This window comes from Homo sapiens, chromosome 1, assembly GCF_000001405.40.
Source record: "Homo sapiens chromosome 1, GRCh38.p14 Primary Assembly".
In the NCBI taxonomy this organism is placed as follows: Eukaryota; Metazoa; Chordata; class Mammalia; order Primates; family Hominidae; genus Homo; species Homo sapiens.
This window is the reverse complement of record NC_000001.11, coordinates 44,704,671-44,718,444: the sequence shown is the minus strand read 5'-3', so window position 1 is coordinate 44,718,444 and position 13,774 is coordinate 44,704,671. Positions and strand designations below refer to the sequence as shown.

General features: G+C 46.9%; 1 protein-coding gene and 1 long non-coding RNA gene across 31 annotated transcripts in view, besides 1 other annotated feature; one reads left to right on the top strand and one right to left on the bottom strand.

Annotated features, from left to right (window-relative positions):
• Nucleotides 1–13,774, bottom strand: part of ARMH1 (armadillo like helical domain containing 1) — a 50,878-nt gene that overhangs the window by 7,147 nt on the left and 29,957 nt on the right. Inside the window, exon 7 of one of the 27 annotated variants that reach the window (XM_017001145.2) lies at nucleotides 9,001–9,764. The exons of the other annotated variants lie outside the window; for them this stretch is intronic. Coding sequence (XP_016856634.1) covers nucleotides 9,664–9,764 — 101 coding nt within the window. The 3' untranslated portion in view covers nucleotides 9,001–9,663. Of the gene's footprint in view, nucleotides 1–9,000; nucleotides 9,765–13,774 lie in introns of those variants that run through there. 27 annotated transcript variants of the gene reach the window in all.
• Nucleotides 1–13,774, top strand: part of LOC105378690 (uncharacterized) — a 36,515-nt gene that overhangs the window by 6,384 nt on the left and 16,357 nt on the right. For all 4 annotated transcript variants that reach the window (XR_007066059.1, XR_001738032.2, XR_947286.4 and 1 more), the window contains one exon: nucleotides 11,056–11,134. This is a non-coding gene — a long non-coding RNA (uncharacterized LOC105378690). The remainder of the gene's footprint in view (nucleotides 1–11,055; nucleotides 11,135–13,774) is intronic.
• Nucleotides 5,308–5,367: a silencer, noted in NCBI's record as "silent region_815". NCBI's record gives its function as "represses an Ori minimal core promoter by ATAC-STARR-seq in GM12878 lymphoblastoid cells {active_cell/tissue: GM12878}" and the evidence as "EXISTENCE:reporter gene assay evidence [ECO:0000049][PMID:35858748]".

Genomic DNA, 13,774 nt, shown 5'->3' with positions numbered 1-13,774 from the left:
TGAAACCCCAAAGTATTTCTCACTTGTTCTACCATTTGGTTTCTTCCCTCTTCTTGAATTGGTGCAGCTCATTTTTTTGGAGCCAAGTGGTCTGGCCCCTCATGCATCTGATGACACTTGGCTTTGTCGCCTGCAGCACGTCCCTCATTAGTAGCTGGGCTCTTCCCAGGCACAAGCTGGCAGTGCGTAATGCCAGGACATCCTGGGCAAATGTCTGCCTGTGCCCAAGAGCTCTTCCTGCAGCAAGACATGACTTGGTGGACACTCAGGGTAGAAACGAACAGGTGAAGATATTTTTATGAAAATTTCTTGACCACAAATAGCATTTTCTGCCCATGTAGAACCAAATACTCCAGGAGACAAATGTCTAGTTCTGACTATTCACTTTACCTAAATGCTTAATCTTTTGCTAATTATGTATTTGTAACACTTGGAGCTACTTAGAAAAATGAAGATTTATTCACTGAATCATTTCTGACTGAGTTTTAAAATTCACAGCTGTCACTGTTTATACCCAAAGTGAAAGTACTGGTCTCTGCCCAAATGTCTTCACAGGAACCACAGCCAGTTACAACTCTTTATATATCGTGCTAGTTACTAGGAAGGGCAATTCCTTCAGAAAGCAAAGGACAACAAAAGACTATCTTTGGCAGCTTTGCCTAAAGCCTGTGGTGCTGATAACACCCAAATGTCCTAAAGCTGAGCAATCACTGATTTATTCATTGATTCATTCATTTATTTAACAAAATTCTCATTGAGCATCTTGTCTGTGCCAGGCCTCTGGGCTAGGGCTATGAAGAGGACTAAGATCTAATCACTGGCCTTAGGGACATCACAGCTGAGTGGGGGATACCAATAGGGAAACTGGCATTTATGAGGCAGTGTTATCAGGGCCATGGGAACACAAAGGAAGCCAGGTTGGTTGATGGAGTGGAGATGATAGGGGATGGAGAATCAGGAGAAGGATTCCTTGGAGACGGTGATGCGTGAATTGGCAAAACCATAGGGAGAAGGGAGGGGCTGGAATGTAGAATGTGGCAAGTGCCATGTTGGATAGTGCCATGTCACATTTGTGGCCAGGCAAGGGAGATCTGGCTGGGAAACAGGGATGCTGGGTCATGCATCAGAGCTAAGCCTGTGGAGGCAGGCCAGCCCCAGCTTCTGCAGGGCTATGCATGTGCCAACAACCCGATACAGCAGGCATTTTTCTCATTTCATTTCAGAGAAAAGGAAGGCTCAAAAAAGTTGAGTAGCTCGCTCAGGATCAGATAGCTAATAAGAATAGTTCTGATTTCAGGCCGGGCGCGGTGGCTCACACCTGTAATCCCAGCACTTTGGGAGGTCAAGGCGGTTGGATCACGAGGTCAGGAGTTCACGACCAGCCTGGCCAAGATGGTGAAACCCCGTCTCTACTAAAACTACAAAAATTAGCTGGGCGCAGTGGCAGGTGCCTGTAATCTCAGCTACTTGGGAGGCTGAGGCAGGAGAATATCTTTTACCTGTGCAGCAGAGGTTGCAATGAGCCGAGATCGCGCCACTGCACTCCAGCCTAGGTTACAGAGTGAGACTCCGTCTCAAAAAAAAAAAAAAAAAGAAAAAAGAATAGTTCGGATTCCAAATCCCATATTCTTCACCACTAAGTCTACTGCCTCCACTCTGGTGGTGGACTAGGAAAATGAACTGTGTGTGGGCGCCATACTGGACAGATGAAGATTGGTGTAGAGGCCAGTGCAGGTGAGCAGTATGAAGACCTGAATTACAGCAGTGGAGACAGAATGGGGAAGAGGGAACGCATCTGCATATTGAAGAGTTAGAATTGACTGGTCTTGTTAGAAGTTGGTTGAAGGTGGGAAGCAAAAAGACAAGACAATTACCAATATTTCTAGCCTGGGCAGCTGGGTACTTTCCACTGAGATTGGGACCTTGGAGAAGAAAAGCTTTGGAACTGGAATATCAGAAGTCCACTGGTGACATCTGAGGGGAGGTGTTCAGAAGGCAAATGGACACACAGGTCTAGAGCTATAGAGAGGTCACTCCACTACTCTGTCCTCCATCCATAAAATGGGGAAAATAATAGTGCCCACCTCCTTGGCTTGCTGTGAGGGGTAAATGAGTAAAGATCAAGGGCAGTATCCAGCATAGAGTTAACACTCTATAAAGATTAGCGACTATTGTTTCTGTCATCAAGGTGGTAGGTGGTACATAAAGTCGTGGTAATTAAAGTTGTGGGAGCGGACGAGGTGCCATAGACAGCAAAGAAGGAGAAGAAGACCTGGAGTTGAATGCTGAAAAAAAAAAATTGACACCTAGGAGACTGGTAGAGGAATGGGAATGTATAAAAGACCGAGAAGCAGTTTCTAGAGCCATAGGAGGAAGCCAGGAGAGTATGGGTTTGGGAAGGAGGATGAGAGTATTCAAGGAGGAGGTATCATCAGGAGGGTTTGAATGTTTGAGAGTTCAGGCCCCATGAAGCTGAGAGGATGCTCTGTGGGGCCCATGCTCATGCATTTGACAAACAGGGATTGAGCACGTGCTAGGTGCAGTGCTGGTGCTGATGAAACAGCAGTAAATGAAACAGATGTGGCTGGGTGCAGTGGCTCACGCCTGTAATCCCAGCACTTTGGGAGGCTGAAGCGAGCAGATGATCACTTGAGGCCAGGAGTTGAAGACCAGCCTGGCCAACATTGTGAAACCCTGTCTTTACTAAAAATACAAAAATTAGCCAGGTGTGATGGTGGGCGCCTGTAATCCCAGCTACTCAGGAGGCTGAGGTAGGAAAATTGCTTGAACCCGGGAGGCAGAGGTTGCATTGAGCTGAGATTGTGCCACTGCACTCCAGCCTGGGTGACAGAGTGAGACTCCATCTCAAAAAAACAAAAAACAGATGTGAGGTCCTAGCCACTCACACTCCATGGAAACTCTTTAATGGTGCAGGAGACAAATTCATTGCTCCAATCCGAAGAGGAACTTTGGAATCCACAGCCTATCAGCATTAGAGGAAACCTCAGTGATCACTGGTCTGATCATCTCATTGAATAGACGAAGAAACCAAGAACAAATGACTTGCCCAGGAAACCACAATGAACAAGAGACAGGGCTGTAGCAGCAGGCTTAGTATTCCTTTGGCAGAAGGAGCCATAGAAATGGCATTGTACCTGGGAACTGTGGATATTCCATGCAGCCATTTCCAGGGTGCTAACAGCACTGATCATTTATAATTCTTTGATCCCAGAGCCTTGCAAAACCAGGGTTCCGGGTCTTTCTCTGCAGGTCCAGACAAGCCTGCCACCTACTGGACACATATGAGAAGTGCGCTTCCTTACCGAGGTTTGCTTCCTTTTCCAGCAGGGCACTAGCATGAACGTGTTTAGCATGTTGCACTGCTGTAAGAAACAGACCAGTCAGGCGTGGTGGCTCATGCCTGCAATCTCAACACTTTAAGAGGCTGAGGCGGGAGGATCGCTTGAGCCCAAGAGTTTGAGGCTGCAGTGAGCTGTCAAGCCACTCAACTCCAGCCTGGGAAACAGTAAAACTGTTTCCCCCCCAACAAAAAAAGAAAAAAGGCCGGGGACAGTCAAATCAGGTTGGGCAACATCGTGAGATCCCATCTCTAAAAAGAATTAAAAAAAAAATTAGCCAGGCATAGTGGCATGTGCCTGTAGTCCCAGCTACTTACTTGAGCCCAGGAGGTTGAGGCTGCAGTGAGCCGTGCATGCGCCACTGCACTCCAGCCTAGGTGACAGAACAAGGCCCTGCCTCAAGAAAAAAGGAAGAGACCAGTGTCAGCCATCTTCCTGACATTCTGTAATTAATTCTGTCTCTGATTTCTGTATACCCTGCTACCTTTTTTTTTTTTTTTGAGACGGAGTTTCACTCTTGTTGCCCAGGCCGGAGTGCAATGGCGTGATCTCAGCTCACCGCAACCTCCGCCTCCCGGGTTCAAGGGATTCTCCTGCCTCAGCCTCCCAAGTAGCTGGGATTACAGGCATGCACCACCACGCCCGGCTAATTTTGTATTTTTAGTAGAGAAGGGGTTTCTCCATGTTGGTCAGGGTGGTCTCGAACTTCCGACCTCAGGTGATCTGCCGGCCTCGGCCTCCCAAAGTGCTGAGATTACAGGCATGAGCCACCAGGCCTGGCCCCTGCTCCCTCTTTTTTTTTTTTTTCTTTTTTTTGAGACGGAGTCTCGCTCTGTCACCCAGGCTGGAGTGCAGTGGTGCAATCTCGGCTCACTGCAAGCTCCGCCTCCCAGGTTCACGCCATTCTACTGCCTCAGCCTCCCAAGTAGCTGGGACTACAAGCACCCGCCACCACGCCCGGCTAATTTTTTTTGTATTTTTAGTAGAGACAGGGTTTCATCGTGTTAGCCAGATGGTCTAGATCTCCTGACCTCGTGATCCGCCGGCCTCCCAAAGTGCTGGGTACATGCGTGAGCCACTGCGTCAGGCCCCCTGCTACCTCTCTAACTACATTCTGTTCAAAGCTCAATGTTGAAACAATAAAAATATATTTTATGCACACCTTTTGTTTTTAAAGCCAGGCAACAAAGTAACTAATGTATGTGCTATGGTGGTATTTTTATTGCTGGACAAAGAATTACTATGGTGTGTCTTCCACTGGTATCTGCTTTCACCCAGCCCAACCAGTCCGTGTACTGATGTTTTGAACTATCCCTGAGACTCGAGTCAAGCACCAGTGTCCTCAAAAAGGACGCAGTATAAGGCAAGGGCAGGATGCAGATGTTTTGAGGGGCAGGCAAATGGGGAAGTTAGAAATAAGATTTCCCCCCAAGATTTTCACTTAAATCCCCTGGAAGACTGTTTTATAGACTTTTATAAACGCTGAATAAAGTGTCACAGTTGAAGTGCTCATATACTTTTGGGGAAGTAATGCATCTTTTAAAAATAGCAGGTTTTTATGTGAAAGTCTCCCTCAGTGTCAGAGCCTTCTGACTGCTGTTCAATGAAGCTGTACAGGACAGGTGGCCTCTTATACAGCAGGAAAGGCTAAAATTACTGCCCATGTCAGCTGAGAAGTACAAAGCAGGGCCGGGTGCAGTGACTCATACCTGTAATCCCAGCACTTTGGGAGCCCGAGGCAGGTGGATCGCTTGAGCCCAGGAGTTGGAGACCAGCCTGGCCAACATGGTGAAACCCCATCCCCGCTAAAAATATGAAAATTAGCCAGGCATGGTGCTGCATGCTTGTGGTCCCAGCTACTCGGGAGGCTGAGGCACGAAAATTGCTTGAATCCAGGAGGTGTAGGTTGCAGTGAGCCAAGATCATGCCACTGCACTTCAGCCTGGGTGACAAAGCAAGACTGTCTCAAAAAAAAAAAAAAAAAAAAAGGCCGGGCGCAGTAGCTCTTGCCATTGCACTCCAGCCTGGGTGACAGAGCGAGACTCCGTCTTAAAAAAAAAAAAAGTGCAAAGCAAAGGCATAACGTTCTGTAAGGCAAAAACACTAGTTTTTAAATGAGACCCAGGTGGTGCAGTGGCTCACGCCTGTAATCCTAGCACTTTAGGAGGCTGAGGCGGGTATATCACCTGAGGTTAGGAGTTTGAGACCAGTCTGACCAACACGGTGAAACCCTGTCTCTACTGAAGTTATAAAAATTAGCTGGGCGTGGTGGCACATGCCTGTAATCCCAGCTTCTTGGGAGGCTGAGGCAGGAGAATCGCTTGAACCTCGGAGGCAGAGGTTCCAGTGAGCCAAGATCGCACCACTGCACTCCAGCCTGGGCAACAGAGCAAGACTCCATCTCAAAAAAAAAAAAAGAAAAAAGAAGAAATCCTGATGTATTTGCTTAACCCTGTGAGGGGTATGAAGCTAAGAAAACATAATTTTAAAAATATGGTTTACTGTAATCTTAACAATGTTGTCTGTCCTTTTTTTTTTTTTTTTTTTTTTGCGGTTCCCTGTAGCTGGGACCACAGGTGTGAGCCACCATGCCCAGCTAATTTTTGTAGTTTTAGTAGAGACAGAGTTTCATGGAGTTTCACTCTTGTTGCCCACTCTGGAGTGCTGTGGCACGATCTCGGCTCACTGCAACCTCTGCCTCCCAGGTTCAAGTGATTCTCCTACCTCAACCTCCCAAGTAGCTGGGATTACAGGCTCCTGCCACATATCCAGATAATTTTTGTATTTTTAGTAGAGAGAGGATTTCACCTTGTTGCCCAGGCTGGTCTCGAACTCCTGGCCTCAGGTGATCCGCCCGCCTTGGATTCCCAAAGTTCTGGGATTACAGGTGAGAGCCCCTGCGCCCAGCCAGGTCTCAAACTCTTGGCCTCAAGTGATCTGCCCGCCTCGGGCTCCCAAAGTGCTGGGATTAAAAGGGTGTCCTTGGGTTTTTATCTACTTCTCAAAGCTGGTAAAAACAAGGCAAGTCTTGTTCTAATACTGAAGAAAGAATAGTGTGGTGGTGAGGGGATGGGCGCAGGAGGCAGACTGACTGGGTTTGATCTACAGCTTTCTCATTTATCATTTTGAGACTGTGGACAGGTTATTTAATTGCTTTGTGCCTCAGTTTCCTCATCTGTAAACTGGGGATGAAAATAGTACCTACTTCACAGAGTTGTTCTGAGGAATAGATGAGATGGTAAAAGAGCTTAGAACAATGCTGGGCACACAGTCATTGTTGGTCACTAGTAGTAGTTATGAGTTAACATTACCATTAGTATCACTGTTGTAACAAAGCTCTGTGAGAACAAGGACTTGTTTCATTTGTCACTATACTCTCAGTGCCCACCCCAGTGCCATTCTTTTTGAATAAGTAAATGAATAAATGAGAAACTTAAATCATTGAAAATGAAAACAACAAAGGACATTATCAAGAAGGTGAAAAGAACCTACAGAATGGGAGAAACCATATATTTGATGAGCACAGAAACTAGAATATATGAAAAACTCTTACAACCCAACAACCAATTTTAAAATGGAAAAAGGACCTGAATAGACATTTCTCCAAAGAAGAAATACAAATGGACAACAAGTCTATGAAACACGTCTATGTTCAACATCCTTATTCATTAGGAAAATGCACTTCGCATCCACTAAGATGGCTATAATTAAAGAATCCCCAGAATAACAAGTTTGGTGAGGAAGTGGAGAAATTGGAATCCTCATATATTGCTGCTACTGGGAATGTAAAATGGTACAACTACTGTGGAAAACAGTTTAGTGGGTTCCTCAACGAGTTAAACAGAATTACCATATGATCCAGCAATTCCACTCCTAGGTAATATACCCCAAAGAACTGAAAACAGGTACTCAATTACATGTATGTGGATGTTCATAGAAGCACTGGTTCACAAGAGCCAAAGGCTGGAAATAGCCCGAATGTCTAATAATGAATGAATGGATAAACAAATTGTGGTAGATACATACAACGGAATATTATTCATCCACAAAAAGGAATGAAGTACTGATGCATGTTACAATGTGGGTGAACCTTGAAAATATTATGCTAAGTGGAAGAAGCCAGACATAAAAGTCATGTATTGTATAATTCCATTTATGTGAAATATATGGAATAGGTAAATCCATAGAGACAGAATGAAGATTGGGGCTTCCCAGGGACTGGAGGGAGTGGAAGGGGAATAGCTGCTCGCTGAATTCAGGGTTTCCTTTTGGGGGGATGAAAATGTTTTGGAACTAGATAGAGATGGTGGTTGTACAACACTGTGAATGTATACTAAATGCCACTGAATTGTTCACTTTAAAATGGTTAATTTTATGTTATGTGAATGTCATCTCAGTTAAAAAATGTGCTTTTATGAAGAAAGAAGTAAACCAAATCTGTGATTAATTTCTTTTCTTTTTTTTTTTTTTTTTTTTTGAGACGGAGTCTTGCTCTGTTGCCTAGGCTGGAGTGCAGTGGCATGATCTCGGCTCACTGCAAGCTCCACCTCCTGGGTTCACGCCATTCTCCTGCCTCAGCCTCCCGAGTAGCTGAGACTACAGGCGCCCACCACCACGCCCGGCTAATTTTTTGTATTTTTAGTAGAGACGGGGTTTCACCGTGTTAGCCAGGATGGTCTCGATCTCCTGACCTCGTGATCCACCTGCCTTGGCCTCCCAAAGTGCTGGGATTACAGGTGTGAGCCACCATGCCCGGCCAATCTGTGATTAATTTCTAGATCAATCATACCTCTTAGAATTAGGAACCTAAGTAACTTTACACAGCCAAGAACCGAAGGAAACTAACAATGAGGTTCTTGCGACCACCAGTCTCTCCAGGTTTCAGGGGGCCAGGGGAGGAGGTGTCACGCATTCAAAGCCTTGTCCATGTCTGTTCGGTTTGGTCAGTTAGGGCCACTGTTTCCCTGCACTAGCATCTCTAGAGGATTCCACTGTGTTAGTGCGAGAGTTCGCTCAGCTACAAGCCCCACTGTTGTACTTTGGGGCTGATGAACCATACTTTCAACTTCGCTATTAATATATGAAATGATCATTTGATTAGCAAGTCAAGTTAATTCCAGGTTCTAGGTCAAGTAGACAAAAATTGTATTCTACAAATGACCATTTTCCAAATTCATAAACAGTTCCATTTTACCATGGACTTGATTCTTATACGTATTTGTTAGCATATTTTCAGCAATTTTTTTTTTGAGATGGAGTCTCCCTCTATCACCCAGGCTGGAGTGCAGTGGCATGATCTGGGCTCACTGCAACCTCCGCCTCCTGGGTCAAGCAATTCTCCTGCCTCAGCCTCCCTGAGTAGCTGGGACTACAGGTGCGCGCCACCATGCTCAGATAATTTTTTTTTTTTTTTCTGAGATGGAGTCTCACTCTGTTGCCAGGCTGGAGTGCAATGGCATGATTTCAGCTCACTGCAACCTCCACCTCCTGGGTTCAAGCTATTCTCCTGCCTCAGCCTCCCGTGTAGGTGGGACTACAGGCGCATGCCACTACGCCCGGCTAATTTTTTGTATTTTTAGTAGAGATGGGGTTTCACCGTGTTAGCCAGGATGGTCTCGATCTCCTGACCTCGTGATCCGCCCCCCTTGGCCTCCCAAAGTGCTGGGATTAAAGGCGTGAGCCACCGCGCCTGCCTGAGATAGGGAAAACAAGGACAGGCTTTGGGAAGAAACTCAAGAATTCTGGCCATAAATTTAAGATGTCTGTTAGACATCCACATGGGAAACCACTTAGGGAAAAAGTATACAGAGATGAGAAGGAAGAGGGTGACCTAACAGTCTGGTAGAGAAACAGGAGAAACAAGCAAAGGAGACTAAGGCAAAACCAGACGGTGGGAGGAAAACTTCTATCACAGAAGCCAACAAAAGAAAGTGAGGGAGTGATCAACTGGGTCGAAAGCAGCTGGGAGGTCAAGTAGGAAGGAAATGGTAAAGAAATGAATAGCTGGGGGGCAACTTGGGGTCAAGGAGGGGTGTACATCCCTAAATGCTATAATTTTACCTTTTTGGTACATGTCTTTTAAGTCTCTTTTAATCCATAAATTCTCAAAGAGGGGCTCTTTTAACAATGGAAGATAGAGAGCATATTTGCACGTCAATGGAGATGGTCCAGCAGAGAAAAAGGGAGAGGTGAGCTACAGAAGGGAAGTCTTTGAGGGAATGTGCTTCAGAGAATAAGCAGAAGAGAGGGCCTGTGATAGGAACCAGGGACACTCTCATAATGGGAAGGAGAGCAGAGGACGTGGCTAACCTGACTCACTGGTCAGGCAGGTTGGTGGGGGAAGGTAGCGTTCTTCATAGAAAAGGAGGTGACACCACCAGCAGCTTCCTCCATCACTGACACCCACTGTAAGATAAACAATCGCCAGGCCCCCTAAGCCCCTCCGCCTCCTGTTGTCCTGAGGATGCCACTTTCCCTGTAGCTTTCTAAGGGAAGGATGCCAATAACCTCCCACTCTGCCCCACACACATGCCACATGGGAGTGGAGTGGGCACCCCTGACCCTTCTTCCAAGACATTCAGTTTTCCCCTTCTCAGTGCAAACAAGCAAACACAAAACCCCGGTGTCTGGTACAGTTCTTGGCACATCACAGATATTCAGTAAATATTTGTTTAAAGAAACAAACCAACCCTGCCCTTTTGAGATCAGTCCCTGTCACCTACTAAACTCTTCTCCCCGCAGTCACTCAGGCTCCTCTTGGACACAGGCTGCTTCTCCATGCTGACTGCTGCCAGCATCCTAGGGCCTCACTCTGGTTTTGCAATTTGGTATACTCAAACTCAAAGAAATTACTCTCTAATCCTCTCCGGTCACCCACTGTTTAGGACCACATGTAGGACCCGTAGGAACTTTCCTTCCCTCCCTCGGGCGGAGTTTCAGTGGAAACTGAAGGCGTGCGAATTTCTTCTCTCCCTTAACTTCCCGTCTACTCTGACCATGTGAAACAGTGCTCCCTAGTGGGAAATCATTGCATACGCATTCTCTACATTTGGAGTTATAGGAAGACTATTTTGAAGCGCCTGGTTAAAAAAATAATAATACATTCATTCAACAGACATTTTTTTTGTGCGCACCTGTTATGAGTCTGGTATATCTGAAATTACCTTGAGGCATGTAGTTTCATTGTTATCACATGATCCTATAACAAACCAAATGCAGTCACAGAGTCACGTTCCCACTGCCTCTTCCACGCTGTTAGTTGTTACTGAATAAATGCAGAAGGACTCTAACTTAGGCCGATATTGGAAGAAGCTGTGGCCAGTTACAACTCTGGAGGACTTCATCAGCATAAGAGGTTTTGTTTTGGTTGGGTGCAGTGGCTTGCGCTTGTGATCCCAGCACTTTGGAATGTGGAGGCAGGAGGATCACTTGAGCCCAGGAGTTTGAGGGCAGCCTGGGCAACATAGGGAGACCCCATCTTTACAAAGAATTAACTGGGCATGGTGAGCTGTGCCTGTAGTCCCAGCTACTTGGGAGGCTTAGGTGGGAGGATGACTTGAGCCTAGGAGGTCGAGGCTGGAGTGAGCCATGACTGTGCTACGGTGCTCCAGCCTGGGCAACAGGGTGAAACCCTGCCTCAAAAAAGAAATAAGATTTTTTTTTCACAGACTTCTACTGAGCACCCATTGTGTTCCAGGTCCTGAGTTGGAAAAAGATGAATCAGACCCAGTCCCTCCCTGGAGTTGCTCAGAGGTCTGGAGGAGAAAGGCATAGAGGTGAGTAATCACTAATGCAGTGCATATGTGCAGTACTCACTCACTCACTCACTCACTCACTCAGCAAACATGCAATGAGGACCTAACATGCTGGGGACTGTGCTGAGGATATAAGGATAAAAGCCATGATGGCTGAGCTGAAATTGCACACAGTCTATGTAAGGGGAAGGTACCATTTGAGAGAACAGTGCTCTGATGGAGGGGGGTTAAAGGAGGGGAGGTGGGGGCAGGGGTGGTTCAAAGGAAGAAGGGCTGACATTTGGGCAGGGGTTGAAGGCAGGGTCAGGGAAGGGCTTAGGGAGTCAATGCTTAAGCTGAGAAGTGATGGACGGATGAGGAGGAGTGGGCAAGTTTGCCACACAGAGGTGAGGTGGGGAGAGGAAGGTGTCAGTGCTACCCAATCTAGTCTTTGGGATTGTTTGATTAAGCTTCCTAACATGATTCTACTACCAGGTCATCCCCTTGCTCCAATGCCAGTGACAACCCTCTGGTGCAGGGTCTGACTATTACTTAGGTCCCTGTACCACTCTACCCCTTCACTGGCAACTCCTCTCCAGCCAGGACACTCTGCTCCAGCTGCTAACAGATTTTAGCATAGCATTATTTCTCAACATACAAGGCCCACATATGCACACAGACCTTGCAGGGGTCAAAAAATACAAAACCGACAATGTTGCTGAAGGAATAACATGCCTGACATTCAGTTTAAGCACTGCTGCTCAAAAATAACCTAGGTTGGAAGTGGCCTCCAGAGCTTTGTTGATCTTCCCCAGGATCTCACTTGCGTACGTGAACCTCAGTGCCTGGCTGCTCCTTATGCTCTCCTCCCCGGGCTTCCTGAACCTGGGGCTCAGCCTGTCATCCTGGACACAGGAGTCCCTATCCCTATACTGATGCCCAGACCATTCCTGCTTACTGGGGCTGTCTGTCCTGGTCTCCTGGGCCCTGCCTACTCTGACATCCATAAGCTGCTTCATTCTCCTCACCAGGCAGTCCCCTGTGCTGTCCATGCTCTCTTCCTGGGGCTATGTACCCAGCTGGGCCAGCACATTCTTATTTTGTCATTTGAACCACCCCAAATTCCTCCTAATTGGCCTCCAGCCTCAAGTGGTTCCCTGTGGCTCTGGCCCACCTGGCATAGCACCACCCAGGCCATCTTCGGAGGCACTGCACTTGCTCAGCCCTCACCTGTGCACAGCTCACTTTTCAGCGGCTCCATGCTGCATACTGGAGAGACTGCCACCTACCTACATGGCATTCAAGGTGCCCCTCCATTGCTCCTAGCCTACCTTTCCTAGACATAGACCTTTACCATCCCTTCTCTAAATGACCTACCCATTATTCCCAGGACACACCTTGTACTTCCCTGTCTGCCTTCCTTTCTACCATTCCCCTTTCCAGAACGAACTCCTCTCCTCCTTTCGACCTTCCCAAATCCTCCCTATTCTCCACGGCTCAGTTCAAACACCACCGTCTCGGTGAACCCTTCCTTAATCTCCTCCTGTTGAAAATAGAATCTCCTTCCTCTGAACCACTATAGGGAAAGGGAAGGAAATTATATCGTTTAAATATCTGCCATGCGCTATATGTTAAAAGCATAAACTTTAGAGTCAGGCAGATCTGGCTAGAATCCAATAGCTGTGTAACCTTGGGAAGCATACTTAATCTCTCTGTGCTTTATTGTTGTATCTTGAAAAACATAAAAATACGTATCTTTACCATTCATTCATGGAAACATTTGAATACCTAATATGTACCAGGGTTTGTACTCTTATGGTTATTTTGTTGTTATTGCTGTTGTTTTGTTGTTTTTTTTTTGAGACAGAATCTTGCTCTGTCACCCAGGCTGGAGTGCAGTGGCGAGATCTCGGCTCAATGCAACCTCCGCCTCCTAGGTTCAAGTGATTTTCATGCCTCAGCCACTCAAGTAGCTGGGATTATGGGCACATGCCACTACCCCTGGCTAATTTTTTTGTATTCTTAGTAGAGACGGGGTTTTGCTGTGTTGGCCGGGCTGGTCTCAAACTCCTGGCCTCAGGTGATCCGCCTGCCTCGGCCTCCCAAAATGGTGGAATTACAGGCGTGAGCCACCATGCCTGGCCTCTTATGGTTATTTTGAGAAGTAAATGAGGTGATGTATGGAAAGTGGCTGGCACATAGAAGTTCTCAATAAATAGGCCGGGTGCGGTGGCTCATGCCTGTAATCCCAGCACTTTGGGAGGCCGAGGCGGGTGGATCACGAGGTCAGGAGATCGAGACCATCCTGGCTAACGCAGCGAAACCTCGTCTCCACTAAAAAATATAAAAAATTAGCCGGGCATGGTGACAGGCGCCTGTAGTCCCAGCTACTTGGGAGGCTGAGGCAGGAGAATGGTGTGAACCCGGGAGGCAGAGCTTGCAGTGAGCTGAGATTGCGCCACTGCACTCCAGCCTGGATGACAGAGCGAGATTCCGTCTCAAAAAAAAAAAAAAAAAAGTTCTCAATAAATAAAAGCTCCTGGCCGGGTGCAGTGGCTCATGCCTGTAATCCCAGCACTTTGGGTGGCTGAGGTGAGAGGATCGCTTGAGGCCTGGAGTTCAAGACCAGCCTGGGCAACATAGTGAGACCTCGTTTCTGCAAAAAATTAAAAAGTTAGATGG